The sequence below is a fragment of the Homo sapiens genome, chromosome 2, assembly GCF_000001405.40.
Source record: "Homo sapiens chromosome 2, GRCh38.p14 Primary Assembly".
NCBI lineage: Eukaryota > Metazoa > Chordata > Mammalia > Primates > Hominidae > Homo > Homo sapiens.
In genome coordinates this window covers 143,548,738-143,572,709 of record NC_000002.12, presented here as the reverse complement: position 1 = coordinate 143,572,709, position 23,972 = coordinate 143,548,738, and the positions used below count along the sequence as shown (strand labels likewise).

The window sequence follows — 23,972 nt, the reverse complement described above, 5'->3', positions numbered from 1 at the left end:
AGACAAGAGTTTCATGAGTCAGAAAAAGAAAATTCCAGGTAAGCCTGGCTTTATAGCTGTCTAAGTGGTGTGATTTGAGGTGAGTCAACACTACTGTTGAAAATACCTTATGTAGAGACTGGAAATCCTCACTATTTACCTGATTATATGACGTCTCTTACCTTATATTCCCAGGAGTAGCAGGAAGCATGACCTACTGTGCTCAGATGAACAAATGATCACCTTAGAAAGTCTGAGTGGACTCTTGAGAGATGGGGATGATAACGCTGAGAACAGGGCAAGGGAAAGGGAGAGGGAGAGAGGAATGGGGAAGATGGCTGTGTGCATAGAGTATGACTATGGAGAAAGTGGGCTCAGTAAGACTCAGTGTCTTACAGGTGTCAGGGGTGAGGACAGGGGTGAAATGAAGGCTCCAAAGGCACACACAGGTGGGTGATGATTTTAAGCCAGGTAGATCTTTGTGAGGTAGAAGTGTAATGCTGAGTATTTTGGCACCCAGAAATAAGAGGATCTGGCAGGCACAGCTTTGCTGAAAGCCTACAATGCAGATGGCACATGATGGGCATAGGGAGGAATCCAGAGGAAACTGAAAAATAGCTCAGTCTCCAGCATCTAACAGTCATGAAAGGGAGAGAAGTGGCATATGAAATAGACTAAAACCAGTACTGAAACACAGGGACAACATGCTATGGGAACACAGTGGAAGAAGCAGCTAATTCCTGTTGAGATTTATGCCAAGAATCATGAGATCTGTGTCAAGGAGGTGAGCTCATCCATCAGCAAAACCACTGATGATGTGCATCTTGCTCTGAAAGACTGTTCTGCTGGGACCTATCAAATAATAATACGCATACATACTCCAGCCCCCAGGACTGATGGGATATTGAATTCCAACATCCTAAGCAGATAATGGTGAGTGAACCCCTTATGGCTGCCAGACATGAAAGTAATAGACTAACAAGAAGAGGGAGTGGGGTACTTGCTCAGGAAAAATGTAGCCAGAGAGTGAGGAGACCACAAAAAGACAAACAATCTGGAGAAGTAGAAAGGATGAGGAGATGGTGAAACAGCAAGAAATGCAGATGCCACCAATACCTGCTGCTATTTAAAGGGAATTATTCCATGGGCTTTTTAGAATCCCATGGATGTTAGGAGACTGTGGCTGGGATTTCATGTCACCTTCTCTCTAAATTACCAGGAAACACATAATGCCTTCTCCAAATCTCAGCTGAATGAAGAAATGCAACTCTTAGCAACTCATTCAAATTCATAGAGACTTTAGTTCATCTATAAAGTGGGTAGCTTTCTTACAAAGATTTAGTGTAATAGCATTTCAAGTGCTTTAGAGCAGTGGTCCCCAGCCATTTTGGCACCAGGGACCAGTTTCGTGGAAGACAATTTTTTCACAGATTGTAAGGGGAAGAGTATGGTTTCAGGATGATTCAAGCACATTACATTTATTGTACACCTTATTTCTATTATTGTTACATGCTCACCATAATGTAGAATCAATGGGAACCTCAAGCTTTTTTTCCTGCAAATAAACAGTCCCATTTGGGGGTTATGGGAGACAGTGACAGATCATTAGGCATTAGATTCTCATAAGGAGCATGCAACCTAGATCCCTCCCATGTGCAGTTTGCAATAGGGTTTGTACTCCTATGAGAAATTAATGCCACTGCTAATCTGACAAGAGGTGGAGCTCAGGGGGTAATGCTCTCTCACCTGCCACTCACCTCCTACTGTGCTGCCAGGTTCCTAACAAGCCATGGACTGGTACTGGCCCCTGGCTGGGGGGCTGGAAACCCCTGCTTTAGAGAACTCAAGTACTGACATTCTCTTGGTTCTGTTGGTATGTTCTGTAAATTCTATTCTGTTAAAAAAAAGGATTGACCTGTTTGAAACAAGACATATCTTCTCTTTTCTTCAATATTTGTTTTCAAAAGAAATAATGTGTAAATTGCAGGAAATTGGGAAGGTATTTTGAAAAACGAAGACAATAAAAATCACCAATACCTAATGCTAACATTTTATGTATTTCTTGCTATTGTTTTTGGAACTGAGTTCAATAGTACACAGTGAAAAATTGTTCACTTTGAGACTGATCTCCAGCATGTGCCAAATTCCTCACCTTCTTTAATAAAAAAATGGTCCAACTCTGGATGGAATCAATCAATAAATTAAAATGTGTAGTGCTTCTATCAGCTGCAAAATATTCTTCTGGGTAAAGTAGGAGAGACAGGTTTAAAAGATATGAACTCTGCCCTTAAGAAATGTTTAGTGTGTTGAGTAGATAAGATATAAGCATGTGATTTTCACTAGTGATATATAACATTATACACAATATGAGGTTATTGTAAATTGAGTAGTTGAAGTTGTAAACATAGGATTTAAAATGAGGAGTGATTCTTGTGGTTTGGGGGGAGGTTCCAGGGAAAATTTGAGTGACATTTAAATAATCCAAGAAGAACTTGAGATAAGCCCTTTCTTTATAAAATATTCTTTCCTTTAAAAAATGTTATACTTCATTATATTACAATAGATTACTTCATTAGGATGGTTGTAAGGGACACATTTAGATATAACTTCCATATGGTGTAGCAATTTCCATTGTAACAGGTTCATTATCTCATGGGATTGACTCATCTTAAAAGAAAATATATTCTTGCTTTAAAGATAATAAAATTGACCTGGGGAGGTTAAATGACTTGGGCAAGACAACACAATTATTAAGAGGTGACATGAAAATTGACCTAGGCTTTCTAACTCCTGGGCCACTCTTCTCTCTACACTTTATTGCTTAAAGGAAATGGTTTAAAAGGCATATGGAAAATAAGACAAATAGAATATGAAGTATTCCCTCATACAAATCAGCCACCACTATTATAGCTTGACTGTGCTACTGTAACAACCTTCTAATTTGTCCCCTGTATGTACTCTTTCCCCCTACAATTCATTCTTCTCTTAGCCAGTGGAATAATTTAAAAACAAATAAATAAATAGGTTCAGCTAATTTTCTGCTTACTGCTGCCCTACACCCCACTGACATTCCACTGAGCTTAGAATAAAAGCCAAGCTTCTAATCTTGATTGGCAAGGCCTACCTGGCCTGGCTTTGCCCATCCCTCTGGCCTTCTGTGTGTCCTGATCTCACAGAAGCCCTCATTCCCCAGAACCAGTTTCCCTGCTTTGCACTCCCCCCACATCTCTCCATGCCTCCCTGCTTCCTATCAGGTCAAGTGTCTATTCAAATGTCTCCTCCTCAAAGAGACCTTCTCAGGTCATCTAATCAAGGGCCACCTCACCCGTCTCCATCTGTTCTTCTCTATTACATCACGATCTTGATTATAATTTCTGATATCATCTGAAATTATCTTGTGTATTTATTATGTATCTCTTGACACCAAAATGGATGATCCACCAGAGCCTGATTTTCCAGAAGAGATCCTGGTTCATAAAAGGTTTTCAAGAAATATTTTTGAATGAATAAATCCCCATTTGAAGTCTTCATTTAGGCCAATATTTTAGGCTTTTTTTTTGTTTAAATTATTATACTTTAAGTTCTAGGGTACATGTGCACAACGTGCAGGCTTGTTACATAAGTATACATGTGCCATGCTGGCTCACTGCACCCATCAACCTGTCATTTACATTAGGTATTTCTCCCAGTGCTATCCCTCCCCCTGCCCCCCATCCTATGACAGGCCCTGGTGTGTGATGTTCCCTACCCTGTGACCAAGTGTTCTCATTGTTCAATTCCCACCTATGAGTGAGAACATGTGGTGTTTCATTTTCTGTCCTTGTGATAGTTTGCTCAGAATGATAGTTTCCAGTTTCATCCATGTCCCTGCAAAGGACATGAATTCATCCTTTTTTATGGCTGCATAGTATTCCATGGTGTATATGTGCCACATTTTCTTAATCCAGTCTACTAATGATGGACATCTGGCTTGGTTCCAAGTCTTTGCTATTGTGAATAGTGCTGCAATAAACATATGTGTGCATGTGTCTTTATAGTAACATGATTTATAATTCTTTGGGTATATATCCAGTAATGGGATCACTGGGTCAAATGGTATTTCTAGTTCTAGATCCTTGAGGAATCGCCACACTGTCTTCCACAATGGCTGAACTAGTTTACACTACCACCAACAGTGTAAAAACGTTCCTATTTCTCCACATCCTCTCCACATCTGTTGTTTCCTGACTTTTTAATGATCGCCATTCTAACTGGTGTGAGATGGTATCTCATTGTGGTTTTTATTTGCATTTCTCTGATGACCAGTGATGATGAGCATTTTTTCATATGTCTGTTGGCTACATGAATGTCTTCTTTTGAGAAGTGTCTGTTCATATCCTTTGCCCACTTTTTGATGGGGTTTTTTTCTTGTAAATTTGTTTAAGTTCTTTGTAGATTCTGGATATTAGCCCTTTGTCAGATGGGTAGATTGCAAAAATTTTCTCCCATTCTGTAGGTTGCCTGTTCACTCTGATGGTAGTTTCTTTTGCTGTGCAGAAGCTCTTTAGTTTAATTAGATCCCATTTGTCAATTTTGGCTTTTGTTGCCATTGCTTTTGGTGTTTTAGTCATGAAGTCCTTGCCCATGCCTATGTCCTGAATGGTATTGCCTAGTTTTTCTTCTAGGGTTTTTATGGTTTTAAGTCTAACATGTAAGTCTTTAATCTATCTTGAATTAATTTTTGTATAAGGTGTAAGGAAGGGATCCAGTTTCAGCTTTCTACATATGACTAGCCAGTTTTCCCAGCATTTAGGCCTTATTTTATACCCTTAGCTAATTTCCCTCCTTTCCTGATTATTCTATTTTGCAGTTTATGTTACTTCACTGAAGCCATAGCAAGACCAGGACATCCACTTGTAATTTGAGCCAGAGGTGTTCTCTGGCAAACGGAAGGTGAGGTACAGCGAGATATGGGGCCGACAGGGACTTGGCAACAAATCACCTCACTGAAAGGGATTACACTATGGAAATTCATATAATTCACATAAGACCCTAAATGTGGCTTTAGTATCACCTGAGTTTGGGGGTCCTCTGTTTCTTAGGCAGTCTTTTTTGGCCTAAAGGACAAGGCTGGCAGGGCTGGCTCTGATCTTCCAAGCCTGGCAGCTTCCTCCTCTTCTTCCCAAATCTTTCCAATGTATTCCATGTTGGGTTGGAAGACAGTTACTTCAGGTGGAGGTGGAAGGTGAGGGTTGGGAAGAGGAACATCTTTCACTGGACTGACTAGAAAGCAACTCTCAAATTCTTAAGATATTCTTTTCGGGGCTGTATGTTTTCCTGGGTCTGGGTTGTGGTCCTGAGGGCTAACGCCTGCTTTTCAATCAGAGCCTATCCTTTGCTGGTGACCCAACATGACTCATTAATGCACTTGTTTGTTAGATTCATTCAAATCCAAAAAGCTTTTATTTGAAGGCACAGTAAGAGCTAGGGATACTGAGGAGACCAAGACAGGGAAGGTCTTGCTTACATAGATGCCACAGTGTGGAGGAGGAAGGCAAGCACTGAGGTGATAGATAAAGAAGCACGCTGTGGCTCACCCCTGTAATGCCAGCACTTTGGGAGGCCGAGGGGGGCAGATCACGAGGTCAGGAGATCGAGACCATCCTGGCTAACACGGCAAAACCCCTTCTCTACTAAAAATACAAAAAATTAGCCAGGCGTGGTGGCGGGCACCTGTAGTCCCAGCTACTTGGGAGGCTGAGGCAGGAGAATGGCATGAACCCGGGAGGCAGAGCTTGCAGTGAACCGAGATCGTGGCACTGGGCGACAGAGCGAGACTCTGTCTCAAAAAAAAAAAAGCAGCAGCAAGGCAGTTTTAGATAGCATGTGCTCTGAAGAAAGGAAAACACGATACTGGGAAAGGTAGTGGCTGGGTGGGTACAGTGAAGGCATGTCTCAGACGAATTATTCAGGAAAGGGCTTCCTGAGAAGGTGACCTGACTGTGGAAAGGGGGGCATCTTGTGGGGATCTGCTGGAAACTCATTTCCAGTAGACAGGAGCAAATGCAAAAGCCCCAGGAAGAGGATGAGCTTGATGAATCTGAGAAAGAAAGGAAGCCGTGGTGGTTGGAAAATAATGAGGACGGAAGAGAGCTACACAGTGAGGTCAGAGAGAGAGGAGGGAGCAGACCTGGGATGCCTGCAGATCCTAGTATTTTCCCACTAATTCACATTGAACCCATCACCAGGGTTCTTAGCTGATAGATTGCAATGTCCATGCACATGGAGGCTCCATGTGAATGGAAAGGTCACTTGTCCTAGTCACTGCTGTACTTCCGGTGTCCCACATACTGCCTGGCATCTAGTGGGAGCTCTTTAAGCATCTGTCAAATGAATGCTGTAAAAGCCAAAATCTTATTTTATGGAGCTCATCTCTCCCTTCCATATTAATCCTGCTGTGCTGGGACCCTCAGTGAAGCAAGAAGCAGATAAGGCTATCTTCCACCACCTCTCCAGTGGGTCCATACACATAAGGGCATAATAGAATCTGTGTGGTTCTAAGTCATTCAGACCTTAGTTTGAATCTTGCTTTAGCCCTGCATTTGTTAACTTTGAATATTTATTTTCACGTTGTGCTTGGGGACCTGAAAAAAAATTTCTTCCCATCTCTGCAACTGTTACTTTCCTTTTCAGGAACAGCTTTAAGGAGATGAGAATACTTTTTTTCTACAGCACACTTTTGTTAGGAAATGTTTCCAAAGTACATGGGGCACCTTGGAAAAGAGGTGCTATATAAATATATGTGAGTCACTAAAGCTGTAATTACCAGCAACAGGGATCCTTGTGTGAAAACAAAAACAAAAGACATGCTTTCAAAATTCAGGGCCTGGGGGTTAGCAAGAGCAGTATGACTTCATTGCTATTTATCCAACCCTAAGTATTTCCAACATTTTGGAGGACTAAGATGGCATGCCAAGTTATACCACTATTTCCAATATCATGACTGACATGTTCAATTACTAACAAGATACCATGTTGAGGGACAGTAAGTTATCTCGCCTCAAGCTTTGTTTTGTTGAGACAGAAAATGGGGATATGGGATCCTTCACTATTCATTTCTTTTATCCAGTCTAAAATTAAGTGCTAACTTATAGGCATCTGGGAGAAAATATAATGTAAAATATAGCTTGAGTTTTCTTTGCTGAGAAAATGGAACCTAACATAATGTACCAATGAAGTTATTTTATATAGAGTTGGTTTGTATAAGATGTTCATCATTCTCTTATTTTGTAGAATCAAACCTTAATTTCATACATTCAAAGTGGCAGGCACTTTGCCATGCTGGAGATTCAAAAATGAATCAAGTTTCCTACTCTTATAATCCCCAAAGCATTTGGGGGTTATTTATTAAAAGGGTAATTTAAAATTGATGTTTTTTTCTTATAGAGGGTCCCATAGGCTGAACACCTGGAAAATATAGTACTATAATGAGAATAAGTGATTTGGGATTCCTTAATGTTAAAAAGAAGATAACATCTCTCTGCCCCCTTCCCCATGGTAAATTGAATCCAGCTACCAGGCAATATATTTTTGGGAGTAAGTTTAAAATAGATTCACCTCCTGCCTTCAATACTGTATTAATTTTGTGGCCTAAGAGTTATTTAATTTTTCTTAAGTATGATTTCCTATGTGAAGAATGTGGATAATAAAGTTTATCTACCTCGAAAACTTTTATGAGGGTCAGAGATTCCTCTAACTTTGTGTACCTGTCATGTAGTAGATTCTCAATTAAATGCTCCTATTATCAGCAATGATATAAATGTATTACATTTTTCATATTATTTACCCCTTAGTTTCGTTAGCAAATGATTAGGTAAAGCACCTTTTATTTTCATTTATTTCAGAACTCACAACATTGGAAAAGGATTGTTATGGTAAAATGCGTAATTTTAATCATACTAACATACATAATATATCCATGGTAGTTTTTAGTTATATAATGAAGCAGTTCATAAAAGTTTTTGAACATTATTACATTAATCAATAGCCAAAGAGAAGACTTCCCCTCACTAGAAAACTAGTTATCGAAACAGGCATTCATGGTCTATTTCCCCTTTTTTCAAATGCAAATCTTGTATATGTTATGTCTTGGTAAGTCATGTCTCCACCAGAGAGCCAGAATAAAACTAGCTTCCATTGTGCAGGGAGTTTCCAAACCTGGCTATGCACTTTACTTATCTGGGGAGTTTTTCTTTTAAAACACTTACTTATAGCTCAAACTGCAGACTTCTTACATTGGATTTTTTAATGAATGAGCTTCAAAAATATTTATTTTTGAAAAGCTCTACCACTAGATTCTTATGGCAGTCAGGTTCTAAGATGACCCCTAATTATCCCCCCTTTCTTGTGTTTATACCTTGTGTAGTCCCCTCCCCTAGGATGTAAGGTGGGAACTGTGACTTGCTTCTAACCAACAGTAGGTAGCAAAGGTGATTGGATGTAACCTTCATGATTATGTTACATGGGATTAAAACTTCTGCTGTACTAATAATCTGTCTCTCCCTTGCTGCTTTGATGAGGGCAGCTGCCATGCTGTAAGATGGTCCACAAGGCTTTTGGCCAACAACCAATGATGGATTGAGGCCTTCAGTCCAACAACCCACAAGGAACTCAATCCTGCCAATGACTATGTGAACCTGGAAGCAGACCTATCCTCAGTTGAGCCTCTAGATGAGAACCCGCCTATGGCTGACACCTTGATTTTGCAGCCTTGCAGAGGATTCAGCTAAGCTGTGCCCAGACTTCTGACCCACAGAAACTGTGAGATAATAAATTTGTATTGCTTTAGGTAGCTAAGTTGGCAGTAATATGGTTAGGCAGCAGGAGATATGCAGTACAATTCTGATATGCAGTCAAGGCCGGGAACCAGTGCTACAGTGTTGTTAGAGCAGAAGCAAGCATGGTGTGTTTTCCTATGAAGCTTTTAATAACTACTTATTAATTTTGATGGTTATGGCAATGATTTGTGATGATGATGATGGTGATGATCATGATGGAATTTTGTAAATATCTTAGGGGTTTTTCTTGGGGATTAGTAGTTACATAACTCTGACTAATTTAATTTCCAGACTCAGTAGTCAAGTCTATATGGAAAAGCTACAACCGAATTAATACTTTAAATTTCAGTAGACTTCGCTCCCCTTCTCCAATGAACATGAAGCTATTCTTTGCAATTTAGAATATTCCCAAACCATACTGACAACATGAAATTTTCTTTTTTGTGTCCAAGAATTCAGAAGGCCTATGAATTTGGCTAGTAATGATTTCAAACACTGGATAGTAAAGAGTTTCCAAAGTTTTATTTGTTTTTTCTTCCAATTATCATCAAGGAAAATTCAATCATGTAGAAGGCAAAAACCATATTTGATTATAAATATTTGGTATCATGCTATTACCAAGAAAATGCAATAGTGATTTGATTTCATCTATCTACTTGTCATCTTAATTAAAGTTAATAATAACTATCCCCTGGCTGATTCACTTTTTAAAGTCCTCACATTTCCATTATTTTTCCCATTTTGGAAATGAAGAGTTGGTGATTTAAAGGGGTTAAAATAATTTCTATTAGGCTTCCAAATAGTTCAGAATCAAGATAAAGAGGTCGATCCTTCAACATTTATCTGGTGCTTTTCCCCATTAGATGCCTTCTGCCTTTATTTCACAACAGCATTAGGTCAGTTCATTATTGGTTGGTACATAATGAATTAGAAAATACAATCCACGGTAAATGTGTGGTATAGTTTTGCTTTAAAATAAGTAGCCAGGATTTGTGTGTCTTGGAGACTGTCAGGATTCATAAACTTATTTTTGGACTATAATGTAAAAATCAGAAACTAAATGTGCATGAACATGAATAACTTACTCTTTTGACCTCTGTGTTCAGCATTATTTACTAATGCCAATACATTTTCTTAAGCAGCTAGAAAACAATACATGCTTCATCAATAGTCTTTGAGCTCCCTGACTCAATGTAGCTGAAAAATGAGGTCTAAGAAAGTTTCCAAAGCCCTGAATGATGTTAGAGTCTGGCTCTTTTATGATCAAGTGATCTTTTCAACTTTAATGGGAAAAATAAATCATTGTTAAAAGATAATCTTGTCACATGAAAGCCAAAAAGGTGCAATATCAATGATTCAACTTACCAAAAAACCACCCTGTGGAATGGAATAAAGCGAATAACAGAGTTTGTTTCGTTGTTGCTGTGATTGGCGGTGAGAGTAGAGCAGGCTTAAGGAAATACCTCGTTTTAAAAATAATAAGAGGGCAATATAAACTTATTTAATAGAAAAATGAATGGACTTGATACAAGGGCTATTTTATAAGAACAGAAATTTGAAATCCTTTTTCAGATCTTTTTCTGTTTCATCCAATTGCTTATTTCATGATGAAACTGCCAATTGTTCACATTCTTTCTCACTTTCTCTTTCTTTTATTCAATTTTTGATGCTGCAAATAATATGAAAAGCACAGGGATAGCTACTAAAGTTAATGCTTGGCTTTGCTTTAAGGTACAAATCTATATTAAAGTAGTTTAGGTACAGTTGATAAAAACAAAATTGTTTTTCTAATAGTTTGTTTTTAATGGAGCTTATTCTTAGCATGTTTAAACTAAGCACATCCATCTCTTTAAGCCAATATCTAATTTGGATTATTATGCCAATAAAATCTGGGTAGATAAAGATATCTACGAGACCATAAATTAATGAAAAAAATCCTCTCATTTAAAACAAATGCACATGCGTGTGTGTGCTCACAAACACACAAACAAGATTCTTGATCATGTAGATTTATAGCATTTGTATATTTTGTTCCTCCTTGTTTGCACAAGTAGAGAAGGTTGTCCTTAACAGTTTTTCTTCAAATTTTGTTTCTATAAATGAAAAACATGTCGGCCGGGCGCAGTGGCTTACTCTGTAATCCCAGCACTTTGGAAGGCCGAAGTGGGCAGATCACTTGAGGTCAGGAGTTTGAGACATGGTGAAACCTTGTCTCTACTAAAAATACAAATATTAGCCGAGCTTGGTGGCGGGCACCTGTAATCCCAGCTACTCAGGTGGCTGAGGCAGGAAAATCGCTTGAACCCGGGAGGTGGAGGTTGCAGTGAGCCGAGATCACACCACTGCACTCCAGGCTGGGTGACAGACCGACCGAGACTCCGTCTCAAAAAAAAAAAAAAGAAAAAGAAAAAAGAAAAACATGTCTAAAATCCTGGTAAGAAGTAATTTTCTTCAGTTCAGGAAAACAGAGAGAATATTTGTAACTGTGTACTAACAGACACCCATCTGGAAAATTCCCAGTCAGTTCTTCCGGCAATGCTTCATAGCTCTCCCATTGGCTCATGGGCTTGGGAAGGTTCATAGCTAGATTTTTCCAAAAAGAATGCCAATCTCTCTTGTCCCTTTTTCAAAGGGTGAAAGAGGATGTCTAAATAATACCAAGTGAGTCTGAACTGAATTTGTAGTTTGGGCAATAAGCCTAAGGCATAGATGGGCAGCTCAAACCCAAGTATCAATGTGGGAAGGAGGGGGAGTTTAGCCTAGGGGAATTTCCAAGACTTTCTGTCAAAAGTTCTCAAGACATGCAGCATCCTCCATGCTGAAGTCTGTCATTTGCAAAGTACCCCCCATGCAAGAAAAGTGTAAGGAGGTCACAGATCATTCTGAAGAATCAACGCAATGTCGCAGGCTGATGACAGGTTGACATCTAAGGTCATGGACCAGTTTTCTTTGGGGATGCCTTCACAAAGCAGAAGAGCTGTATCAGCAAAATGTCACTGAAAGCTGTCACCAAATTCAACAAACAGGGCAGAGCGCTGCTCACAAACGCACCAACAGCCTAGTAAATCGAGAATCCTCGATCCCTTTCCCAAAGGCTGCAACAGAATAGCGTGTTAAAGTAGTTTCTTGGGCCAAACATAGATACATAAAGCCATACAGAGAATGGCAATGCCAGGCTTCTTCCTAACTGTGATGTTTGGCGTTTCTCCAAATAGCTCTTGAACAATTTTAGCAAAACTCCAACGGTAGTACTCATCAGTTACCAACACCAAGAGGCGGGGTGTAAAGGAAAGTCATGAATGAGCGTGTGTAGCATGAAAAGACTAATCTCTGCTTTTATAAAGAGATAATCAACAGCTGATGAATTGGAAATGCAGAATAATGGCAGTGGTTTGCAGCATAGGCTCTGAGTCAGACAGATCTGGGATCTAGTCTTAGCTCCTTCACTTATATGCTGTATGACATTAGGACATTATTTACTATCTGAACCTCAGTTTTTACATCTGTAAAATGGGAATAATAATAGTGCCTACTCTATGGGATGTAAGAAAGGATTAGATTAAATTATGTAAATAAAGTGCTTAGTACAGTGCCTGGCACATAATAAATTATGAAAATGCTGCTTACTTTTATGATAATAATTACTATTATCATCATTACTAGTTATAATTAGGAAATGCTTTTCAAAAGTGAACACTTTGAATATAACTTGCATGTCATCTGAACTGGAAGTATAATAAGGGTATCTAATTCCCACTGATTTAGTAAGTCAAATAGAAAACCAAAACAAATTGAGTCATTCAACTGGTGTATTTAGAATTGCTGATGATTATAGCATTCAAGAAAGTTAGTGAAATACATAAATTGCAATTCATCTGTCTTGAAAATCTCAAAAATCAGTTTTTATTTGTCTAGTCTAACAGTGGGCAGGGCTTACTTGTTTAAAAATGTATATTTAGAGCCTTCTAGAAAATAAACATGTGCAAGGTGAATAAAGAAGGAATAAAATATGTTAATACAAGGCAGGTATGCAAAAATCATTTATGTTTCAGCTTAGACTGCAAAAATGATGCACTGCCTTTACATAGCACTTTATGCTTTTCATGGAATTTTCCCTGCATTGCCAGTTTATTGTATTAGACACACAGAGAGAGGGCCACAGAGGGCCACATGTACACTTACAATCTCTTTGCACCCAGCACTGATTATTTTCAAGTCAGCTCTACTATTAGAGTCCTGGTCCAGATGGAGGGGAAGGTATGGCATTAGCAACAAGGTTGTGGGGCCAGTCCAGAAAACGCATTCAAAGGATAATCTGATTAGCAAATTTTGAAAGGGGTTGGTATATGCATTTCACTTATCATCTAATTCAGAAAACTCCATAACACAACTTGGACAAAGTTACCAGTATCAAAGGTCCTAATGTAGCATAATTTGTGTTGAGTATGTTGCATTCTGACAGTGCTATAAACCAGGGAGACAGTTTACTGACAATTCTGTGCTACCAGATACCAACTCAGGCCTCTGTCCAGCCTTACATTGTCAATTCTCATGGAAACATGAGCAGTTACATAGCCTCAGAGGACGCTGAAGTTTGGATTGCAAAAGACGAGATGGACAGATTTCATATTTTCATTGCAGATTTTTTTCTTTGCCTTTTCAAACTGCTGAGCATAGTTTTTTTAAAGGCAGGAAATGCAACTAGTGTTTGTTTCTAGCATGGCTTCTGTTTTGAGATTTCTTCTTTGTAGAAGAAATGTGTTGCCCAGCTGTCTAGAATCCCAATCAGGATATCGTTTCAGCATAAACTATATTGTAAGAATGATTTTAGCTGGTTATAAGCTAGAATGAATATGAGGCTAGGGCTATTTTATCCATATTTTACCCACAGAGGGGGTACGCTGATTCAGTTAAATGGAAATAATATAAATGAATGAGGTAAAGTTTAGTTCTGTGTTTTGCCCAGGAAAGAGAGTAATTGTGAAAGACAAAGAATTGCATTAGTGAACAAGCAGAGCTGTAGAGATTCTCAGTTATAGAGATTCTTAGAAACAAGAGTCATGTGGCAAGTGGCCAAAAGTATTGCAATCAACATTTAAAAAACTGGTTCAACCCAAGTTGAATTGCTGGAGAGTTGAATGCTTTCCAGTTTTAATACTTCTCTTACCTGCAACACCCACACACATTGTTCAACAAATATTAATTAAAAACTCCCTGTATGAGGAACTCCTTGTATGGAAACACCAAGGCTAGAACTGGTTAATGGGAAAAGATACAAGGATGATTCAAGTCCTACCTTTTTAGAGATTTGTGAAAGAGACAGACATTTCAGCCAGTATCCTATTTTTTGATTCCAAGACTTACAAATTTTAATGTTTCTGAAATACAATCACCGAGTACATTTGATTATATCCTTTCCAAAAGTTGGCATTAAATCTATGGGTCTTATAATAGATGGAATTTTAAAAGTTAGATGTGAATGTACTACTGTAAATTCAGCTACTCAGAGTAAGGGGAACAGAGAAGAAATCTGACTGGAGGCTTATTGAATGAAATTGCTATAATCTGGGCCTTGAAGAAAAAGAAGAAATCTACCAGGCTGGAAGCTTGTGTATGTGGGATGGGAAGGAAAAGATAGGAGGATATTGAAAGTAAAGGGAAGAGCATGTGCAAAGACATTAAAAAACACAACAGTATGTAAATGTGGGAGTACAGTTTATATGTTAAATGTATTATGAAAAACATTCAGAGGACCTGAAGCCAGCTATTATAGAAGCTAAGTGGGAAGCTAGAGTACAAGGATTTGGAGTTCTTCTGAAGACACTTTTGACTGTTTTTAAGTAAAAGGAAAACTAACATGAGTCTGTCACATTCCTAAGTGTCATAGATGCTACCCAGTTTAATTTTCCCAAATGTTTCCAAGGCATCCCCCTACTGTTTTTCCTGATAGGAAACAGAGGCACAGGGAGGTTAAGATGCCAAGGATACAAGGAGAGAGTCTAAGTTCTACCCCATCTGTATGATTTTAAAACCTATGAGCTGTCTATAACACCAACTTAAGATGTGTTGGTCTTCTTGTTTTTCATTTTCTAATTTCTTATTTTTACTTTTCGAATTAATAGACTTCTTTTAGAGCAGTGTTAAGTTTACAGAATAATTGAGCAGAAAGTACAGAGAGTTAACATGTATCTCCTCACTCTTCCCAAAATTTTCCCTATTAATAGCATCTTGCATTAATGGGGTAGATTGTTATAATTGATAAGCCAATATCAATACATTATTATTAACTAAATATTATAATTTACATGAGGATTCACTCTTTGTGTTGCATTTTATGGGTTTTGACAAATGTGTAATGACATGTATGGGTAATTACAGCATCATACAGAATTGTTTGCCCTCAAAATCCCCTGTGCTCACCTATTCATCTCTCCCTCTTTCCCCCAAGCTCGTCCTACTGCTTCCACTCATCTTTTACTCTCTCTAGTTTTCCTTTTCCCAGTATATTGTTGGAATCATACCTTTTCACACTGGCTTGTTTTACTCAGCATATGCATTTAGATTACTCTAAGTCTTTTCATGGCTTGAAAGCTCATTTCTTTTCATCCCTGAATAATATTCCATTATATGGATGTATTCTGGTGTATTTGTCCTTGCACCTATTGAAGGACATCTTAGTTGCATTCTAGCTTTGCCAATTATGAAAAAAGCTGCCGTAAATATTTGTGTATAGGTTTTTGTGTGTACATGAGTTTTTAACTCATTTGGGTTAGTACCAAGAAGTACTGGATCATACAATAAAAATACATTTATTTTCATAAGAAACTGCCAAATTTTCTTCCAAAGTGACTCAATCATTTCGCACTTCCGCCAGCAATGAATGAGAGTTCCTGTTGCTCCACATCTTGGCCAGCATTTGGTGTTGTCAGTATTTTAGCCATTCTAACAGGTGTGTAGTGGTATCTCATTGTTTTAATTTACAACTCTTTGATGGCATATGCGTTTCCTAATTTTTTTCTTACCTACTATATATTTTTCTATTATCTGTTATTTTGACTTTTACATTTTCCATCATTCATTCTTTCATTCATCAACATATAGTAAGTGTCCATTATAAGCCAATAACATTTTTTGAATCTGGGTCATTTTTCTTTTACTCTTTTTCTATTCTTTCCCCCATTTTTATTTTGACATGTTCCATTCATTATTTATTTCACATAGACTATTAATTTGTTTATCTGTATATGCTATTCTTTTCTAGATAAACTAGTTGGTTATCTTTTACTTTTCTGATAATTTTTAAATTTCTTCCACTTTCACATTCTCCTGTTAAAGTTTTATTATTATTCACAGTACATACAGCACAGTGTATGAAATATTGTTCCATATGAAACTGTTTGAAAAAATCTCTGAAGTGGAAATCACTTACCTTGGTTGACAATAAATCTTAACTTCTGTATTGTTGCCAGATTGCCACTAACTCGATATATTCCATCAACATCTAGACCTGAAGACAAAAGGGCATATTTTATATTAGCACATATAGGAATTGAGATGGTTTAAAAAAAATCTATGAAAAGAAGGAGTAAATCAAATATCTATTCTTCTCAGATAAAACCAATTTGTGTGTTCTAAATTATGCAATCTTCAAAATTTTAATCTCAAAGTAATCATGGTGTTCAGTCTTAATTAAAATTATCATCAATAAATTTGGGTCTAATTGAGGCAAAAAGAGCAGTGGGTAGAATAGGATTACATCATATATTTAAGGTTCATTTACAAGGAAAATATAGGAATCCAACTGGGTAGGGGGGAAACCTCCAGACGTTTGTGTATTATTGCCTTTTTTCTGCAAGGTAAAATAACTCGAGACATTTGTAAGACATTTGCTACTGGCCTGACTTACTGTCTTCCTGCCTTTCTGTCTCTCTTCTTTCCTTCCTCTCCTCTTCTCAGCTCTTTTTCTTCTCTCCATTTCTACTCTGTTCTATTCTATTCTATTCTATTCTATTCTATTCTATTCTATTCTATTCTATTCTATTCTATTCTATTCTTGTTTTCCTGTGATTGTTACAGAATAACATATTTTGATCTGATTATTTGAAACTAAAGAGTAAAAATTCTATTCTAGATATAATGCTAGTTTGATAATTTCTAGTGTATTATAGGTAATGAGGTGCTCCATTATGGAGAGAAAAATTTAAAAAATCTTTAGCGAAATGGTAAAATGAGTTTCAGATTATTTTAGAACTGGTCATCTGTAATTCAAAATAACTTATCCTGGCAGTGAATTTCAATAATCATTCACTTGTTTTCCACACATCTATTTATAGAATCTAGTTAATTTCTTGGCCACGTTACGAGGACAATGAAGAAACAGGAAAACGAAAAGGGAAACACTTAGTCAAACACTATAATAGTATCTAAAAATGCTGAAAACATAATTTTAATGTCAAGAATGTATATTCTTTGATGTGTCTGGGCACTCAGGACTAGCTGAGATTGCCAGCAGATGCAGAGGTCTTAGCAGTTTCTCTAGGGAGGTGGTATAGCATCATGGATAATCATTGTAATTCACAACAGTATTAAATAGATTGGTAGAAATTATTGCCATAGTGTAACAGAATAAAGACTTCCCAAAGCACTTTACTGGCATAAAATGAGCTCATTTATTGCTTTACCATTTTACACACTTTGTATTAGGAACACTTCTGCCATTGTGCAAAATATTGCATTGGAAGGTTAGGGTAGAATAACATCACTTATAACATTGGTAATAATGGCATAATTTAAGACAATCATTCACTATAGTTTTTACTCTTCCATGTAATAAACTTTAGGGTTACTTGAGATAATTGCAATAAAATGGAATAGCTATTAACAAATGTATTAATTGATGTGACTTTATAGTTCTAGAATAATCTAAGAAATTACTGAGACTCTGTCTCTTCCTGAGAACTATAAATTGTGAGGAATTGGGTGAAGCTGGACACCAGTTAGCCAGTGGTGAAAGTTTCTAAGACACATATATTTGTAAAAATCAATATATTTTTTCTTCGTGATGCACAAATTACCTCCATTAATCTAAGTCTACTCTGGTTTGTTTGTTTTAAAGTACAATTTCTGCTTGACAGCTTAAATGTGATAATAGTCCTAATTAAAATTTTTCTAATATTTAATTCCTACTTTTAGTATTGGTCTATTTTGGTCTTAAGTTCATGCACTTACACCCAGAATGTTAAAAAATTAATTTACAAAAAACTTATCATTTTCTTTTTTTCCTTTGTCATTAGATGCTGTTTGGTACTTAGTTTTAACCTATGAAATTTTAAATAACGTGATAGATTTAAAAATATTAAAAATTGTACATTCAAGTGTGTCCTTCTCAAAGTTTTCCCTCTTAATTTTTTTGAGCATATAGCTACTGAGGAAATTATTTTAAAATTCTTCTCTAAAATCACCCTCAGAGGCCCTGAAATGTTTACAGAAAAATGTTCATAATGGCATGCTTGGGGGTTTTGGAGAGAGTTTTGGATTTGGAAGCAGACAAATGGCATCAGAACCATGAGTGGTGAATAAAGTCACCTTGATGCTTGCCACCACAAACAAACAAAGTTTGATCAAATGAATGTGGCCCTGATTATTTTCCCATGGATTATCAATTGATTTTAAGGAATTTAGAGAATAATAATTATTTTAGAAAATAGAAACATCAATGGAATATGTGGGTCTATGTTCTCTAAAAGAGAAATTCTAATTTTTTAAAAAATCAATCAAATTAGTCCTATTTACAGTGATTAAAGATAAAATGTGAATATCTATTACAATAAAAATGAGAACATTGTGTGTTTTTAAAAATTTTGTTTTGCTAATTAGCTAGACCCTTATCAGAGGTCTATTATAAATGAAATTATTTGGATTTCAAAATTTAATTGCAAATAAGGGCCTTACTTAATCATCATTTTAATATGCATATTCATTTATACAAGGTGTAAAATCAAGTGCATGTCTTGATTTTGAAGTTAGCACTCTTCCTTTTCAAATATTATTCTATATGCTATTGAAATGCATAGAATTGTAAACTGGTTTTTAACTGATGAAATTCCCTGTATCCAAAACTTCTTTTTTCTCTTAGAGTGTTACAATATAAGAAGTGCTTTCCTTGGTCTTTCATAAATTTCTGTAAACAATTTTTTAAGTCCAGTAATCAAAACCATTTGAAAAAGTAGTATGGATTGGACATATCACATATAAACAATTGGAAAGCAGTATACTGTTTAAAGAAAGCAGCCTCATCCTAAAGTAATAACACAACTTTCTTTTGGCATAAAAGGAGGGAGCACAGCTGGTGGAGACAGGGAGGGTAAATCAGACCTGTGCTACCGCTGTGGTTGTAGACCTGAGTCACAGCAGAGAAACTGCTCTGTGGCTGGAGACAGAAACCAGAAAGTAAAAGGGAGTAAAGCAAAACATATTAGATGCAATATGAATCTATCTTGACACAACTTCCAAGCCCTTTAGATTCAAAGATACCAACACTATATATCTTGTGAGTGATAATGATCTCTGACATTAGCGGCTCCTGCTTTGAATGGCTCATGCTCTCCGGCTATCATACTTTTTAAATTACATAAATAGAGTGAAAATGACAAAGTACATATTAAAAAGGAGGGTATTACATTTTGCAAAATAATCTGGAACATATCAGTGAATTTTAACAGTTATAAATTATATAGGTACAGTCTTGGAGTTGATTTGCTTTCCCCTGAATGGCTCACAGAACAGCAAACCCAAAGTTCTAGGACTATTACCCAAATTACAATTATTCACGTGCCATCCTCCTTTTACTCCAAGAACTTTGAAAGTTATGCCAAACCAAACCAATGTAAATTGGTGGATTTGGACATCCTTTTCATGACCACATTATCCTTGCTGGATTGCAAACTACTTATTTTGGAAATATAATTAGACGTCGTATGATTTTTAAATGACCAACGTCTTCAAGGTACCTCTTTTGTGCTTTGGAGAAGGTTGGTGAAAAATCGCTTTGAGAGGTACCTCTTTCAAGAAAGTAACATGACCGTAAATGCTGACAGGATTTTTGCCTGTTATGCTAAAAATACTTTGGGAACACGATAAAACTAAGTCATTTTATTTTTTATTTTTAAATAAGAGTGGCATTAATGGTAGTATGAAAAATTATCTGAAGAAATCCACATTCACTGAAATATTGTTTATTCGTTCATCATCAGCTGACCTTCTTATATTTCAAAATAGTGTTTACTGTTGGCAGAAATCACTGGGTATTGCTGTAGGGGATTTTTAAAAGTCTTCCCCTGCCTCCCCACCCCGACTTTTTTTTCTCCTGAAGAAGCTTAGACTGGGATAGACACACAATTAGGAGTTATTAGACCAAATGGTGGTCTAAGCCCAGTGGAAAGAATGCAGCTGTTATGAGTAATTCCCACCATAAATCTTAGACACTTTGCAAAAAGAAATCTAAGACCAGATTTGACTGGCTTATCTGCCAAAATATGGACAGTTTTTGACAATGCAGATGAGTCTGTTAAAAATAGTTGAAAACTGGTTTAGGTAGCATTTTTGGTAGCCCGAATGATGGACAAACCATGCAGATGTGGAGTTTGAGCCTGGTTGAGTGGTGTGTCCTGAAAGCCTGCTTGTTTTTCTAACCCATAACAAAATGCATCTGAACCTCTACAGTCTGCAAATGTGGGCTGGGAATTTTGCACAAACAGTCCCTCTCCTGAGATTTATGGCACTTCCTAATTCCTAGGAGGCCAGAGCTACCACAAGAAGTGCCATTCTCGCAATACTTTGAACTTCTGGCTTCTCCCTCCGGCGAAAATCTTTGAGCACGGGAACACTCAGGTTGTCCTCAACGCTGCACGTTTCTGTCTCGGTCCTTCCAAATTTCTACTTGGGTTCTGAGCTAAACATGAGAAGCTCTGGTGCCATTCAGACCTATGCCTCCTCCTCTAAGTTGAAATGAGTGTTTCCAACATTTTCTTGCTAGCTTATTTGTTCACACACTTTAAATTCGATGACTGAGAGTACAGGATATAATTTAAAATTCTAATCTCTCTTCCAACTCAGTGGTGTTGATTTTGTACCTATCTGCCATTTTAATTTAATTATTGTTAATTTCTTATGAGACACCCATCCTTCAATAGCCTTGCTATTTCCTAAGAATGATTCCCTTAGGAAATAGCTGGCACAATTTTGATTTTCAAACAAGAATCATTTTATTCTATAGGATAACTATATGACTTCATAAAAACCATTCTAAAAATATATAGTTTTTTTTGCTATATTTCCATGGTTAAAAAAACAATAAAAAATACAAAATTGAACCATACAGAACAATATACAATCAGAACTAAGTACAGTAGCTGCCCCAACATGCTTTCCAAAGACAGTTATTGTTAACAGTTCTATTTTAGGCCAGGTTCAGTGGCTCACACCAACAATCCCAGCACTTTGGGAGGCCAAGGCAGGAGAATCACTTGAGCCCAGGAATCCAAGAACAGCCTGGGCAACATAGTGAAACCTATCTTCCCCCCGCCAAAATTTAAAAATTAGCCTGGCATGGTGGCGCATGCCTGTGGTCCCAGCTACTCAGGAGGCTGAGGTAGGAGAATCACTTGAGCCCAGGAAGTTGAGGCTGTAGTGAGCCTTGATCACAGCATTGCACTCCAGCCTGGGTGGACAGAGTGAGGCCCTGTCTCGAAAAGAAAAGTTCTATTTTCATTCTTTTTGTTAATGTTAATATGTCATATTTCTGTTTATTAATTTATTAACTTTGAATGGTATTTATTGATTTCTCAGAAAAGATAAAGAGCTTAGTGCATTCGTAGTTCCTACCACTTATCTGTACACCCTCTTTCTCTTCATTGAGTTAATTTGCCTATTTCTATATCTTAGCATATCAAATTATCTCTGAGCTATGGAAAACAAAGCAGTATATTTACTCTTACTTCTCTCTACCACTTCCCTTCCCAGTTTTATTCTTTATGCGTTTGTTTATATTCTTAAAATTTGGGACATTTTGTTTTTTATAACTATTTTGAGACTTATCTATGGGTTAATAATAGCCACTATTTTTTAAAAAGGGAACATGTTGGGGTTTAACATTAAAATTTAGTTTCACAAAGGAGAGCTCCCAAAAGTTAAGACTTAACTTGTCCTCTTCCTCCTTTCTAGGTTTCTTCATTTCCTCAGATTAAGTGCTGCCCAACAGAAGTTTCTGCAATGATAGAAATGTTCTATGTCTTTGCTGTCCAAACCAGCATTCACTGGCCACATATGACTGGCTACAGAGATTATTAACCACTTGAAACGTGGTTAATACAACTGAGGGACTTAATTTTATTTTATTCAGCTTTGAGTAGCTTAACCACACGTGGCTGGTGATGACCATTTTAGACAATGCGGCTCTAGGTCAGCATCAACTACCCTCCTTCTCTTGTATTCCGTTGTTATTCTTTCTTGGATTGAAGTTTAAGAAGTTTCTTGATTCATAAAAGTATGTGATCGGTAATTTTTCTTACTTTACCCATCTGACTGTTTTCTTTTGCTTCCTAATTGATTGTTGACTTGAGTATTTATTTCAGTTTCATAATCTTTTACTTTTCTAACTTTGAAAAATATATGTTCCATTATCTTCTAGCATCCCTGCTGTTAAGTCTGATGTCAGATTGATTCTTGACACTTTGCAGGTAAATTGCTTTTGCTCTTGGATTAAAAAAAAATTTCTCTTTAAACTTATAGCAGTAAAATGTCACTCATATGTGCTCCCCATCTGGGCCTTTTCATTTGGAAAACATTTTCTTATATTATTTGCTCAATATTGTTTTCCCTCTATTATCTCTCTTCTCTAGAATTTATTTAAGATGGATTATCAAATATTGGATTACCCTTATGATTGAGACTGATTAAACAGTGGTCATGGGTACCTCTGTATGTGTCCAACTCTCTCCCTCCCCACAACTTGTCCAATCTTAAATGAGAATGGTGTGTTGGAGTGTCTCGCAGGATAAATGGGTGGTGAGTAGACAATAGGCCAGGGGTTCTCCCCAGTTATCAAAGTAAGGAAGACTTAACTTGGGATATAGAGAAATTTACCAATTTTTCACCTGGGCAAAGGTATATCTAATTCTGTTGGAGAAGACCTGAGACACTTTCTTCTCCACTGTCTTCTTTCTCAGATGCCAGCAACTTTTCCGTCCTTACAGAAATTGCTCTCAGGCTCAAGCACCTGCTGTAGGTGCTTCCTTGGTGCAGGATAAAGAAAGAGGAGCCCAGTTCTCACAGCTGTTAGATCCTGTTATTTAATGAATTACTTTCTTTACTGCCCTCTTGACAATTTCTGTTCTTTTTGTTTGTTGACTCCAAGTTTGGTTATTCTCTGGGACACCCCTGGAAAGAACTGTGCCTAATTGTGGTGTCTGGGAATGGTGTTTCTCCTGCTTTCATTTCTCTATTTGTTTGATCCCATCTGCTTCCTCTCTTCCTGGAATTTCTATTTCTCATCTGCTGATGGCACCTTTTCTGTTTTCAGCACCATTATCCATTTTTTTGTTTTTAAAACACATATTTTCTATTATTTCATTGGGATTTTTTTGAGGAAAGAGAATCAGACATGCTTTTTTGAGACTGCCAACTTGAATGTGAGGCCTACATTGTTTTTCATAAAAAAGAACTTTAAAAACTGAAAACAGAAGTTTCATTAGTTTGGGAAGATACTATTATATTATTTTCATTATTGGTACATGGGAAATAAATGGTGAGGGATTAAACTATGAATATTTAAAACAGTTGTTACGTGATTCCAATTCTAATGTTGGAAGTATAGGTTGATACAGGGTTTCAGTACATCTCTCATTTCATGTTTCTTACTCTTGTCCTTTTCTGTGTTTATAGAAATTCCTACTATCATTTATGCATTTTTCAATTCTCCTTTTATTACCTGAAGTTGTTTTAGTTTTCTCTTCCATTTCTTTCGTGAGCCTTTTCTTTTCAATTTTTATCTCATTTTGGTTTTTTGTTCTACCTTCCTCATATTTCTGCTATGAAATGCTTGCTTCATAGACACAATTATTGCAACAAGTTTTTCTTTTTAATGTCATAACAAAATACCTTCAATTTTTCCTTTATTAT

The 23,972-nt window shown here is 36.9% G+C and overlaps 1 protein-coding gene across 11 annotated transcripts in view; it reads right to left on the bottom strand.

The window, feature by feature from the left end:
* The window catches only part of ARHGAP15 (Rho GTPase activating protein 15), a 638,934-nt gene that overhangs the window by 195,643 nt on the left and 419,319 nt on the right, over nucleotides 1-23,972 (bottom strand). For all 11 annotated transcript variants that reach the window (XR_007078554.1, NM_018460.4, XM_017004500.3 and 8 more), the window contains one exon: nucleotides 16,225-16,302. Coding sequence is in view for 10 of the 11 variants with exons in the window: in NM_018460.4 (NP_060930.3) it covers nucleotides 16,225-16,302 (78 nt within the window). In the remaining variant the exon portion in view is untranslated. The remainder of the gene's footprint in view (nucleotides 1-16,224; nucleotides 16,303-23,972) is intronic.